The sequence below is a fragment of the Homo sapiens genome, chromosome 12 (assembly GCF_000001405.40).
Source record: "Homo sapiens chromosome 12, GRCh38.p14 Primary Assembly".
Lineage (NCBI taxonomy): Eukaryota > Metazoa > Chordata > Mammalia > Primates > Hominidae > Homo > Homo sapiens.
The window spans coordinates 77,278,377-77,293,540 of record NC_000012.12 but is presented as its reverse complement, the minus strand read 5'-3'; the positions used below and the strand labels follow the sequence as shown (position 1 = coordinate 77,293,540).

Genomic DNA, 15,164 nt, shown 5'->3' with positions numbered 1-15,164 from the left:
CATGTTTGTTTGCTTGCTTTTATCTGGGACCTCTAAGAAACCTTAGTCCTAAAGTATGACTCTTCCTTCCCCAATATACTGCTTCTTTAGGTTCAAAAAGTACTAATACAGAATGGCCTTAGATGAATCTGTGTCTTGGATAAATTGCCCTAGCATCTTCAAAAGCTTCACTTGTATTTGTGTGTGTTCAGCTCGGTAGATCAGTTAACTCAAACCTTTGCACTTTTTTCCAGCCAGATAAATGAGAAAAAATTGCACTTTAATTTTATTTCAATGATAAGAAAATTAAAGTTATTTCTGTTAAAAACCTTAATATGGTCTAAAAAATCTCAACAAATTTTTTTATCATCTGAAACGACTTTAATGGATTTTCTCTAGTATGCCATTAGTACAAATCCATTTTGTTTTATTGAGGTCAAACTACATTCCCTTGTCTTGTTCCCCAGGAGAAGGAAATTAGGTAAAAATTAGCTCACTGTGGTTGTATTCTCTTTATATTGCTGCATAAAGGAGACAGCCAACAAAAGGGCAAGCTGGTAACTTGCAAGGATCAAGCACTTTATATTAGGCCAGAGTTTCTATGTTGTAAGGGGAAAAAATAAGAAAGTGCAAAAGACAACCTAAAAATAAAAGAGTCTAAGAATCAAAGAAGATAGGGTTATTGACTTTGAAAATTTTTCTTCAAAATGTGTATATTTTATGTATAACCACATTAATTATTAAGCTACACAGAAAGTCAACTTAAGTAAATAAATCACACTAGAAGTCAACACATGTAAATAGACACCACACATATACAGTGGGTGTTGGAGGTTAGCATTCTTTTTTTTTTTGGAAAGAAAGAAGTAAAACTTTTTTTATACTTTAAGTTCTGAAATACATGTGTAGAACATGCAGGTTTATGACATAGGTATACATGTGCCATGGTGGTTTGCTGCACCCATCAACCCATCATCTACATTAGGTATTTCTCCTAATGCTATCTCTCCCCTTGCTCCCCACCCCCTGACAGGCTCTGGTGTGTGATGTTCCCCTCCCTGTGCCCATGTGTTCTCATTGTTCAACTCCCACTTACAAGTGAGAACATGTGGTGTTTGGTTTTCTGTTCCTGTGTTAGTTTGCTGAGAATGATGGTTTCCAGCTTCATTCATGTCCCTGCAAAGGACATGAATTCATTCATTTTTATGGCTGCATAGTTTTCCATGGTGTATATGTGCTACATTTTCTTTATCCAGTCTAACATTTAGGGACATTTGGGTTGGTTCCAAGTCTTTGCTATTGTGGATAGCGCTGCAATAAACATACATGTGCATGTGTAGAATGATTTATAATCCATTGGGCATATACCCAGTAATGGGATTGCTGGGTCAAATGGTATTTCTGGTTCTAGATCCTTGAGGAATCACCACACTGTCTTGCACAATGGTTGAACTAATTTACACTCCCACCAACAGTGTAAAAGCATTCCTGTTTCTCCACATCCTCTCCAGCATCTGTTGTTTCCTGATATTTTAATGATCGCCATTCTGACTGGTGTGAGATGGTATCTCACTGAGGTTTCAATTTGCATTTCTCTAATGACCAGAGATGATGAGCATTTTTTTATGTGTCTGTTGGCTGCATAAACGTCTTCTTTTGAGAAGTGTCTGTTCATATCTTTTGCCCACTTTTTGATGGGGTTGTTTGTTTTTTTCTTGTAAATTTGTTTAAGTTCCTTGTAGATTCTGGATATTAGTTCCTTGTCAGATGGATAGATTGCAAAAAATTTCTCCAACTCTGTAGGTTGCCTGTTCACTCCGATGTTAGTTTCTTTTGCTCTGCAGAAGCTCTTTAGTTTAATTAGATCCCATTTCTCAATTTTGGCTTTTTTTGCAATTGCTTTTTGTGTTTTAGTCATAAAGTCTTTGCCCATGCCTATGTCCTGAATGGTATTGCCTAGGTTTTCTTCTAGGGTTTTTATGGTTTTAGGTCTTACATTTAAATCTTTAATCCATCTTGAGTTAATTTCTGTATGAGGTGTAAGGAAGAGGTCCAGTGTCAGTTTTTTGCATTATGGCTAGCCAGTTTTCCCAACACCATTTATTAAATAGGGAATCCTTTTCCGATTGCTTGTGTTTGTTAGGTTTGTCAAAGATCAGATGGTTGTAGATGTGTGGTGTTATTTCTGAGGCCTCTGTTCTGTTCCATTGGTCTATATATCTGTTTTGGTACCAGTACTATGCTGTTTTCATTACTGTAGCCTTGTAGTATAGTTTGAAGTCAGGTAGCATGATGCTTCCAGCTTTGTTTTTTCTGCTTAGGATTGTCTTGGCTATATGGGCTCCTTTTTGGTTCCATACGAAATTTAAAGTAGTTTTTTCTAATTCTGTGAAGAAAGTCAATGCTAGCTTAAGGGGTGTAGCATTGAATCTATCAATTACTTTGGGCAGGATGGCCATTTTGACGATATTCGTTCTTCCTATCCATGAGCATGGAATGTTCTTCCATTTGTTTGTGTCCTCTCTTATTTCCTTCAGCAGTGGTTTGTAGTTCTCCTCGAAGAGGTCCTTCACATCCCTTGTAAGTTGTATTCCAAGGTATTTTATTCTCTTTGTAGCAATTGTGAAAGGGAGTTTGCTCATGATTTGGCTCTCTGTTTGTCTATTTTTGATGTATAGGAATGCCTGTGATTTTTGCACATAGATTTTGTATCCTGAGACTTTGCTGAAGTTGCTTATCAGCTTAAGGAGTTTTTGGGCTGAGACGATGGTGTTTTCTAAATATACAATCATGTCATCTACAAACAGATAATTTGACTTCCTCTCTTCCTATTTGAATATCTTTATTTCTTTCTCTTGCCTGATTGACCTGGCCAGAACTTCCAGTACTATGTTGAATAGGAGTGGTGAGAGAGGGCATCCTTGTCTTGTGCCGGTTTTCAAAGGGAATGCTTCCAGCTTTCTCCCATTTAGTATGATATTGGCTATGGGTTTGTCATAAATAGCTCTTATTATTTTGAGATATGTTCCATCAATACCTATTTTATTGAGTGTTTTTAGCATAAAGAGGTGTTGAATTTTATCGAAGGGCTTTTCTGCATCCATTGCGATAATCATGTGTTTTTTGTCATTGGTTCTGTTTATGTGATGGATTATGTTTATTGATTTGCATATGTTGAACTGGACTTACATCCCAGGGATGAAGCCAACTTGATTGTGGTGGATAAGCTTTTAATGTGCTGCTGGGTTCAGTTTGCCAGTATTTTATTGAGGATTTTCACATCGATATTCATCAGGGATACTGGCCTGAAATTTTGTTGTTGTTGTTGTTGTTGTGTCTCTGCCAGGTTTTGGTATCAGGATGATGCTGGCCTCATAAAATGAGTTAGGGAGGAGTCCCTCTTTTTCTGTTGTTTGGAATAGTTTCAGAAGGAATGGTACCAACCCCTCTTAGTACCTCTGGTAGAATTTGGCTGTGAATCCATTTGGTCCTGGGCTTTTTGGTTGGCAGGCTATTAATTACTGCCTCAATTTCAGAATTTGTTATTGGTCTCTTCAGGGATTCGACTTCTTCCTGGTTTAGTCTTGGGAGAGTGTGTGTGTCCAGGAATTTATCCACGTCCTCTAGATTTTCTAGTTTATTTGCATAGAGGTGTTTATAGTATTCTCTGATAGTAGTTTGTATTTCTGTGGGATCAGTGGTGATATCCCCTTTATCATTTTTTATTGTGTCTATTTGATTCTTCTCTCTTTTCTTCTTTATTAGTCTGGCTAGCGGTCTATCTATTTTGGTAATCTTTTCAAAAAACCAGCTCCTGGATTCATTTATTTTTTGAAGGGTTTTTCATGTCTCTATCTCCTTCAGTTCTGCTCTGATCTTAGTTATTTCTTGTCTTCTGCTAGCTTTTGAATTTGTTTGCTCTCTGCTTCTCTAGTTCTTTTTTTTTTTTTTTTTTTTTGATGGAGTCTCGCTCTATCACCCAGGCTGGAGTGCAGTGGCGTGATCTTGGCTCACTGCAAGCTCTGCCTCCCGGGTTCACGCCATTCTCCTGCCTCAGTCTCCCCTCGAGTAACTGGGACTACAGGCACCTGCCACCACGCCCAGCTAATTTTTTGTATTTTTAGTAGAGACGGGGTTTCACCGTGTTAGCCAGGATGGTCTCGATCTCCTGACCTCGTGATCCACCTGCTTCGGCCTCCCAAAGTGCTGGGATTACAGGCGTGAGCCACCGAGCCCAGCTGCTTCTCTAGTTCTTTTCATGGTGATGTTAGGGTGTCAATTTTAGATCCTTCCTGCTTTCTTCTGTGGGCATTTAGTGCTGTAAATTTGCCTCTTAACACTGCTTCAGCTGTGTCCCAGAGATTCTGGTACGTTGTGTCTTCATTCTCCTTGGTTTCAAAGAACTTTGCTATTTCTGCCTTAATTTCATTATTTACCGAGTAGTCATTCAGAAGCAGATTGTTCAGTTTCCATGTAGTTGTGTGTTTTTGAGTGAGTTTCTTAATCTTGAGTTCTAATTTGATTGCACTGTGGTCTGAGAGACTGTTACAATTTCTGTTGTTTTGAATTTGCTGAGGAGTGTTTTACTTCCAATTATGTGATTGATTTTAGAATAAGTGCTATGTCGTGCTCAGAAGAATGTATATTCTGTTGATTTGGCATAGAGAGTTCTGTAGATGTCTATTAGGTCTGCTTGGTCCAGAGCTAAGTTCAAGTCCTTGTTAAGTTTATGTCTTGTTGATCTGTCTAATATTGACAGTGTCTAATATAGAGAGTGGGGTGCTAAGATTTCCCACTATTATTGTGTGGGAGTCTAAGTCTCTTTGGAGGTCTCCAAGAACTTGCTTTATGAATCTGGGTGCTCCTGTATTGGGTGCATATATATTTAAGATAATTAGCTCTTTTAGTGCATTAATCCCTTTACCATTATGTAATGCCCTTCTTTGTCTTTTTTTGATCTTTGTTGGCTTAAAGTCTGTTTATTCAGAGACTAGGATTGCAATCCCTGTTTTTTTGTTGTTGTTTTGGTTTTGGTTTTTTGCTTTCCATTTGTTTGGTAAATATTCCTCCATCCCTGTATTTTGAGCCTATGTGTGTCTTTGCACATGAGATGGGTCTCCTGAATATAGCACACAGATGGGTCTTGGACTCTATCCAATTTGCCAGTCTGTGCCTTTTAATTGGGGCATTTAGCCCATTTATATTTAAGGTTAATATCGTTATGTGTGAATTTGCTCCTGTCATTATGATGCGAGCTATTTATTTTGCCCTTTAGTTGATGCAGTTTCTTCATAGTGTTGATGGTCTTTACATTTTGGATTTTTTTTGTACTAGCTGGTACCGGTTTTTCCTTTCCATGTTTAGTGTTTCCTTCGGGAGCTCTTGTAGGCAGGCCTGGTGCTGATAGAATCTCTCAGCAGTTGCTTGTCTGTAAAGGATTTTATTTCTCCTTCACTTATGAAGCTTAGTTTGGCTGGATATGAAATTCTGGTATGAAAATTCTTTTCTTTAAGAATGTTGAATATTGGTTCCCACTCTCTTCTGGCTTGCAGGATTTCTGCAGAGATCTGTTGATAGTCTGATGGGCTTCTTTTGTGGGTAACCAGACTTTTCTCTCTGGCTGCCCTTAACATTTTTCCCTTCATTTCAACCTTGATGAATCTGCCAATTAATGTTTCTTGGGGTTGCTTTTCTCGAGGAGTATCTTGGTGGTGTTCACTGTATTTTCTGAATTTGAATGTTGGTTTGTCTTGCTATGTTGGGGAAGTTCTCCTGGACAATATCCTGAAGTGTGTTTTCCCACTTGGTTCCATTCTCCCCGTCACTTTCAGGTACACCAATCAAACATAGGTTTGGTCTTTTCACACAGTCCCACATTTCTTGGAGGCTTTGCTCGTTCCTTTTCATTCTTTTTTCTCTAATCTTGTCTTCTCGCTTTATTTCATTAAGTTAGTCTTCAATCTCTGATATCCTTTCTTCTGCTTGATCGATTCAGCTATTGATACTTGTGTATGCTTCACGAAGTTCTCGTGCTGTGTTTTTCAGCTCCATCAGGTCATTTATATTCTTTACTAAACTGGTTATTCTAGTTAGCAATTCATCTAACCTTTTTTCAAGGTTCTTAGCTTCCTTGCATTGGGTTAGATTATGCTCCTTTAGCTCAAAGGAATTTATTATTACCCACTTTCTGAAGCCTTCTGTCAATTCATCAAACTCATTCTCCATCCAGTTTTGTTCCCTTGTTGGTGAGGAGTTGTGATCCTTTGGAGGAGAAGAGGCATTCCGGTTTTTGGAATTTTCAGCCTTTTTGCCCAGTTTTTCCTCATCTTTGTGGATTTATCTACCTTTGGTCATTGCTGTTGGTGACCTTCAGATGAAGTTTTTGCGTGGTCATCCTTTTTGTTGATGTTGATGCTATTGCTTTCTGTTTGTTGGTTTTCCTTCTAACAGGCCCCTCTTCTGCAGGTCTGCTAAAGTTTGCTGGGGGTCCACTCCAGACCCTGCTTGGGTATCGCCAGCAGAGGCTGCAAAACAGCAAAAATTGCTGCCTGCTCCTTCCTCTGGAAGCTTCGTCCCAGAGGGGCACCCGCCAGATGCCAGCTGGAGCTCTCTTGTATGAGATGTCTGTGGACCCCTGCTGAGAGGTGTCTCCCTGTCAGGAGACATGGGGATCAGGGACCCACTTGAGGCAGTCTGTCCCTTAGCAGAACTCAAGCGCTGTGTTGGGAGATCCACTGCTCTTTTCAGAGCCGGCAGATAGGAACGTTTAAGTCTACTGAAGCTGCACCCACAGCCACTTCTTTCCCCAGGTGCTCGGTAAGGTTAGCATTCTTAAGCTCCATTCTATCTTTCTTATAGTTGGGGGGACTAGAAAGCTTAAAACTAAATGTTTAGATTCCCTTGTATCTAAGATTCTTCATGCAAATTAGATTATGCCAATTGGATGCACCTATGCACAATTTGGGAGAAAAACGTTAAGGTGAAAAATTTGTCCTATTTCTTTTTTGTTTTTCCTTGTCGGCATACAGTGCCATGGAAATGGGAGCTGGTATCAGCAATAATCGGCAGTGATCCAGCATTTGTTTGTCAGCTGTCTAGGTGCTAAGAGATGACTGCATCAGTTTCTTACTTCTGACTTTCTAATCTTTGGATCACAGCTGTGGGTCCATTCTCCAGATTCCCAGGTGATGAGAGGAAGTTGTCTGCTTCAGCTGCTTTATTACAGATTTGCTTTATTATAGATCATTGGGATATATGCCTGAACTCATAGCACCCCTCATGATGTGACAGGTGGTAGGATCCTGAAATAAATTATGAACTCTTCTGGAAGTCTTTCCTGGAGGTCCACCTTAGAACCCACTTCTTTCCCTGTAATAATTTATAAGCATCAAATTTCATGTACTAGATCCCTAATAAAAAGGCATGGAGTATTTTTGTTTCTTGCACTAAACACTGCCTGATGCAACACATGACATTTATGCAATTTTTCAGTGTCTTAAACTGTTCTCCATGTAGTTCTTTTGCCTGTGTCTGTGCTGGCTGTTTCAGCTAAGCCCTCATAGGTAAATGCACCTGGTATGACTTCCTAAGAATCAGCTCACATTTTCCCTCAGAATAATTTGTTTCCCTCCAAAGCTTCTACTGCCAATGTTCTGTCATTGTTCAAGATATTCTACGGATGTGTTTGTCAAAGGTCTTTCTCCTCCAAATCTTTTTAATTTCAGTTTAGTCTCTCATGTTATTTACTATATATTCCTACATATACTACTTTGTCTCAACCCTAATACCACGTTTATGTTCAAGATATTTAATGATACATAATTTCTGTAGCTTTGATGAAGCTATATCTTCTTTCTTTTATCTTGGGTATATATAAATTTTATAGTAAAGCCCTCTGCTTTGGGTTTCTGGAATGACAGTAATAATAAAAACAAGGTAGTTTTTCAATCTCATCTCTAATTCCTTTTGTGGGGGAGATTAACCAATCAAAACGGTGAATCAATGATTTTGAACTAGATTCAGGAAAAACATCTTTCTTTGAAAAACAAAAAAAAGCCTACATTTCTTGTCTTTCTCTTCTCCACTTGGAATGTCATCAGGAATTTTTCTACGTCCTTGTCCTCCTCTTCTACTCCTGAAAAGACTCACAGAGATAGAGCCTGTCAACACTGTAAGCTAAGACTCCCATGACAGACCACAGGACGGAAAAGCCCCTACCACCTCAAGCCGCCATGCCATGAGTAGAGTTCCAAGACTAGCATGCTACCTCCACAGCAGAATAAGAAAACATCTTCAAGGAGCAGTGGTGGAGCACAAATATGTTATGGCTGCCCCAAACCTTTGTAATAGACACCTGTTTTTCTCTTGTGGGGAAAGGTATCCCTTTCTTTGGGTAACTGCCTCTCACCCACTCCATGCTACCTCGTTGGAGGTATCACTGACAATATTCCACCATATCGTAACTACAAGGTGGTCTTTAATTCAAACTAGGGCAGTCCCTCTCTCTCTCCCCAAGGTGTTTAAAACTGAATGGAGACACACAGGGACTGAAGACATTGGAACAGGGCATCCATTGTGTGTGCTTGAGAAGCTCTCCTGTGCTCCTTTGTTTCCTTTTCATCCTCAGACCCAGTTGTTTTGTGAGTGTTTCTTTAATTTGGAGCTCCCTAGTATGTGTTTAGTAAGCCCTCTTTTGTTTAAGTTTTTGAGACTGAATTTTGTTTCTTTAAATCAGAGGACCCTAACCAATCTTTCCTTCCTCCACCCCTTCACTCCCTGCCTGCCTCCTTTTCCTCTCTGAGTCCAACAGACTCTTGACAGGCAGTAAAATCCATCTGGATAATGATGGGTAAAGGCATCCTATCATTTATTCATTCAACAAACATAGATTGAGATTTTACTACTGCACTTAGCAGCTTCTATCCCAGCATGGGATAATACAACACAAATTTAAATTTAGGGAAAGAATTTTCAAGAAGCAACATGTGAATGTGAACTCTCTTGGAAAGAGAATATCCATTTTACCAGATAGAAAGAAGCAGGGAGTGTACTCTAAGCAAAGGAGCTTTGGCAAAAGCAAGAAGTCGTCTTGCCTTTGGGAACTACTACACATGTTAAACTAGAACTCAGATTCAAATTGAGAAGTGATGGAAAATTGGACGGGAATGGTTAAAGATGTTAGATTAGTAAAGCCAGATTATTCTCTCAGAATGCTAAAGAGAGATAAGAACAGATATTGCTAGATGTCCCTGCCTCCATTTCTTTCTTTCTTTTTATGCATTAGCATTTGCAACTTTAAGTTGGACACATCAATGCGCAGAATAAAGAATACATTTCCCAGGGTCTCTCAATAGCTAGATATGGCCATGTGACCACATTCTGACCACTAGGAAGTAAACAAAATTAATACATGCAAGTTGTGGCTATACTCTTAAAGGGAAGGTACTTGCCATCTCCTTGCCTTCTTCCCCTTCTACTGGGAATGTAAACACAGTGATGGTGAGGCAATCTGGATCATGCAAATGAGTGCAAAGCCTTGAGGATGGGACCAAATAGATTGAAGATTCCTGGATCCTCAGTTCCGTGTTCCACACATAAATTACTCTTGGACAGTTATGCAAAAACAAATATCAACTTTTATCTAGCATATCTTCCCCAAACCTTTGTAACAGATATCTGGTTTTTTCTTGTGTGGAAAGGTATCCCCTTCTTGGAACTGCCTCTCACCCACTTCATGCTACCTTGTTGGATGTATCATTGACAATATGCCACCATATCCTGTCTACAAGGTGGTCTTCAATTCAAACTAGGCCAGTCACTCTCTCTTTCCAAGATGTTTAAAACTGAATGGAGATCCACAGGGACTGAAGACATTGGAACAGGGCCTCCACTGTGAGTGCCATCTAGTTTAAGCCAATGTATAGTGGCCACCTGTCACAGCAGGTGAATCAGTATCTTAAGTGTGTCAAGAGAAAGTCACAGTCACACTTAAGACTATGGCCTGGCCGGGCGCGGTGGCTCATGTCTGTAATACCAGCACTTTGAGAGGCCAAAGAGGGCGAATCACGATGTCAGGAGTTCGAGAACAGCCTGTCCAACATGGTGAAACCTCATCTCTACTAGAAATACAAAAAATTAGCTGGGTGTGCTGGCGGGTGCCTGTAATCCCGGCTACTCAGAAGGCTGAGGCAGGAGAATCCCTTGAACCTGGGAGGCAGAGGTTGCAGTGAGCCAAAATCGTACCACTGCACTCCAGCCTGGGCGACGGTGCAAGACTCCATCTCAAAAAAAAAAAAAAAAAAAAGACCATGGCCCATAAGCCAAAGTTGACCCACCTCCACCTCTTCTTTCTGTATAGCCTGTGAGCAAGATGATTTTTACATCTTTAAATGGCTGGAAAAAAAATCAAAAGAATAATAATAATTTATGTGAACATTACATGAAATTCAGTGCCCATAAAAAAGTTTTATTGGAACACAGCCATGTTCATTCATTTATGTATTGTCTATAGCTGCATGTGCAATACTACAGGTAGTTGAATAGTTGCAACATAGATCATATGGATCACGAGTCTAAAATATTTAATATTTTGCCCTTTACAGAAAGAGATTTTCCAATCCCTGCTTTAGATTATTGCTTTAATGGATGCAGCAAATTTACTAAGAATGAAGAGACTAGAATCAAGTAAGAGCCCATGAGAGGGCTGCCCAGCAATATTAGGTTAGTGCAAAAGTAATTTTGGTTTTTGTGATTATTTAATACTTTTAATCACAAAACCATAATTACTTTTGCACCAACCTAATAGGTTAAAAATACAGAGGAAAGCCATTCAAATTAGTTGCAGTAGGTAGGAAGAAACAAAGTGGGGTGTGTATTAAAGAGCTATTTAGACAGTGGAATTAACACAATTGAGAAATTTCCTCCCAAAAGAGATGCTGAGGACATAGTAGAATATGAAAATGGTCCTTTCTCCCACATTCTATGTGTATGACAAACTATTAAAATAAAAACCTTTGCCCCACTCAAAGTTAATACTGTCAAATCCCTGTTAGGAATTTCCCAGGGAAGCTCAAATTCATTATAATTAGCCTCTTTTGAGTGTTACCAAAGTTTATTTTCACCCATCATATTTAAGTTCAAACTTGACCCTCAGCAGAAATTTTCCTTGTGTTGTCTTAAGTGATAACACTTCTAGAATGTGTCTTCCCACCTACTCTCACACAAAAGCAGTAAGACAGCTACCATACCATCCTCAAATGGCTTTGTAGGTATGCGACTTATTTCAGACTTTAAAAAAAATGTTCGTCATTTCAGATTTATATTCACTGCCATAAATAATAGTTATGGAAGCTGCATAAACATTAACTTATACCATCATGCATGTACATTCTACTATTTTATAAATAATAAAGTCATTACATAGATATTGATATTTTAATCAATTAACTGAGTGCAATCTTTTAAGACTTATTTTAAGGCCTCCTAATTAATGGTTACACCAAAAACAAAACACATGTACTTCCTTCTTCCATGGCAGTTCTGATGTTTCATTGACACAGATGTGACGGTGACATTAGAACAGAACTGTAGTTCCAATCCACTGGAGATGGGATGCATGTTGTTGCAGTTCATTCATCATTCATTCATCCATTTAACAAGTATTTGTCACATCACTATTATATTCCAGGAGGTCTGGCAGACACAGGAAATACTGGACAGCCAGGGTGTCCTTCCTTAGAGAGTATCTGGATTACAGAAGTATCCAGGCACTAGGCTATTATAAAACTGTGGGATGAATGCTGAGCTACAGAATGAGGCCGTGGACATAGAAAAGAAGCACCTAGCCCAGACTGGGGGAGATGGAGGAAAGCTTCCTATTGAAAGTAATGTCTAAGCTGAGGGCTAGAGTATGAGTAACAGTCATCCAAGAGAAAAGAGAAGATCAGGGAAAGGAACTGCATGTAGACAGATTGGGGAGAGAGAGAATGAGTATATGAGTGGCCTCTTGAATCGTAAGTGTAGTCAGGGTCTGCCCCCAGGTGATATGGGGCCTGTCTTCAACCTCCTTCCCCACCTCTCATTCTGAAACAGCACTGCTTTTGAAGCATGTGTTCACGCACAGTGTGTCTCCCCTGGTCCCACCACATTCTTTCTGCTTCTAGATACACTACTGCTCTAGTAAATGAAAGAAGCTCCATGTGGCTGAAAATCAAAGTGTGAGGAGGATGTAGCGAGTGAGGTAAGCCATGACAAGGACTGCAGAGTGCCAGACATTATTTGGGATTTCTGTTTCTTGGCCTTTGCCCTGCCTTGACACTAGCCCCTTTGACTGGTTAGTCCCTGAAACATCCATCCCTGTTCATTGCCTGGTCAGGAGTCCCCACCTGTCACTGACACTAAAGAACATGTTGGCACACCCAGGCCCCCATGCTAGTGCCACTCAAGGGTAGAAAGGAAATGAGTTTCCCGGTCTCTGTAATCAAAGGTGGCACCGTAACAAGTGGAGGAAAAAACATAGAGGATGTGGAGTTATTTTGTGATCATTGATCATATTGTAAAAATGAGAGGTTTCTCCTCATTTCTTGGTAAAAATTAAGTTTTGACTTTTTCCTTGAAAGACAGTGTGTGTAGAATGTTTTCTTTGTGAGCCACATGGCCCAGGTTTGACTTTTATGATCTTCCAGAAGATGGAAAAACATAAAAGAATTCAAATCATTGTGTTGGTTTTTTTTAATCAGGAGGCAACATTAATCACAAACTTCGTTTGCTTAATTACATTTCTTCCTGTGTATCCAACTTGAAGGGAAAAAAACTTGCATCATTGTTACAAATATTGTATTTGACCTGTTTCCCCTTTATTACATGCAACTTGCAAATATTCTACTTCCCTTACTCCTACCTATGGTACAATGATTTGTATTGTTCCTGAGTAATGTTTTCCATAACAAGTGAAGGAAAAAACATAAATTAAGAATTTCCTTCCAAGAATTGTAAAATAACAAAATATTTACTGAAAATGTATGCATATTTGCTGGTGCCCTGGCAAATTAAACTCAGAAACCATCCACAGCATGGGAAATAGTATTGGTGACTTTTTGTTAAACGTTCTCAGCAGCCACCAATTAAATACCATTTTCACTTGATAGACAGGTGAGCCTGGACTTCAGTGAGTTGAGATGGGAAAATAAAGAACCTAGCTTCCTTCTCTTAATAGTTTGAGACAACCTAGATGTAAGCAATCAAAATAAATATTCATAGAATTTTCAAGTGGTGTCTTCATTAGGCAGTGCCTAGATACACACTGGATAATACAGTCATAATTTTTCATCCACAGGAGTAGTTAGATTCCCATTGAGCAACCAGGTAAAAAGCATGGGAGGGGTTGACTACAGGTATCGTCAAGTCAGTAAGTAGAAGATTTGAAGATATGGTCATTGTTCCTACTGGGTTTTGTTTTTTGTTTGTTTGTTGGCTGGCTGTTTCTTTTTGAGAGAGGATCTGGCTCTGTCACCCAGGCTGCAGTGCAGTGGTGTGATTACAGCTCACTACAACCTCCAACTCTCAGGTTTAAGCCATCCTCCCACTTCAGCCTCCCAAGTGGCTGAGGCTACAGGCGTGCACCACCATGACCACTATTTTTGTATTTTTTTTAATTGTAGAGACAGGGTTTTGCCATTGATATGGTTTGGATCTGTGTCCCTGCCCAAATCTCCCATCAAATTGTAATTCCCCAATATTAGAGGTGGGGCCTGGGAGAGGTGATTGGATCACGGGGACAGAGTTCTTATAAATGGTTTCTCACAATCCCCTTGGTGCTGTTCTCTTGATAATGAGGCCTCATCAGATCTGATTGTTTAAATGTGTGTAGCACCTCCTCTTCTCTCTCTGTCCTGCTCCTGCCATGTAAGGCACCTGCTCCCACTTTGCTTTCCACCATGAATAAAAGCGCCCTAAGGCCTCCCCAAAAGCAGATGCTGCCATGCCTCATGTACAGCCTGCAGAACTGTGAGCCAATTACACCTCTTTTCTTTATAAATTACTGAGTCTCAGGTATTTCTTTATAGCAATATGAGAACAGACTAATACAGCCATGTTTCCCAGGCTGGTCTCCAACTCCTGGGCTCAAGCAATCCACCCACTTCAGCCTCCCAAAGTGTGAGGATTACAGGCATGAGCGACCACGCCTGGCCTCATTGATCATATTGTAAAAATGATGTTTGTCCCCATTTCTTGATACAAATAAATAAATTACCTCTTTCATCTGTCTCTTTCTGCTCACAACATCAAATACTAGGTTGAGCCACTGCATGTCTCCTCAAATAAAAATACCACAAAACTATAATAAAATACAGTATGTGATTTTAATAGACAAATTGTACTGATCAATTTAATTATTGGTATAAGAAACTGATGCTTCCACAATTGAACTAGTTGAGATCCAGATGAAAATAATAATTATGGGTGTGTACTTTGCTCTAAAAAGAAAAAAGTTATAGAAGTTACAGGTATGCTACACACACACACACACACACACACACACACATACAGAGTCATGGTCCTAGAATTGCTATACTTTAAAATAACAAAACAAATGTATACTCTGGGAACTGGAAAATTGGGATTCTAAACTAATTTCAATAAATGCGTTTTTATTAATTTTATATACAGTTGGCAAATAGGCCAGTTCTTTTTGGTCTACTTTAATATGTAATTAAGAATGATTGTAATTTGATATATTATTTGTAATAATACTTTAAAAATTACTTGTAAAAAAGCATTTTATTGACTGCTTATTAAAAATTATGATAATATGAATTTCCTTAACACGTATATTTTTGTAGATTATAAGGCCTTTGTTCTGAATGAGGATTAATAGTTTTCAAACCCTTTCACCTACATGTTCTCATTTAATCTTCACAATAATGCTGTAAGACATTTAATTTTCTTTTTCACAGATGCAAAAACAAGAGACTTAGTAAATAAGCTAGCCTGAAGCCATACACATAGATAAAAGTGACAGAATCAATATACAAATACATTTCTTCTTACTCTATAACTCTTTCGCTAATGAAACAAAGTATCAGTCTAGCTGGTAACCAAATTATCACTAATTCTTAATTAGTGTAATGAAGTAATAAGCTTTCATTGTATCATTCATAATTCAGAGATGCAATTCTACGGCCTCC

General features: G+C 39.0%; 1 long non-coding RNA gene across 6 annotated transcripts in view; it reads left to right on the top strand.

Moving 5' to 3' along the window:
- Window positions 1–15,164, top strand: part of LINC02464 (long intergenic non-protein coding RNA 2464) — a 97,632-nt gene that overhangs the window by 23,694 nt on the left and 58,774 nt on the right. The window contains exon 3 of one of the 6 annotated variants that reach the window (NR_187546.1): window positions 12,141–12,217. The exons of the other annotated variants lie outside the window; for them this stretch is intronic. This is a non-coding gene — a long non-coding RNA (long intergenic non-protein coding RNA 2464). The remainder of the gene's footprint in view (window positions 1–12,140; window positions 12,218–15,164) is intronic. 6 annotated transcript variants of the gene reach the window in all.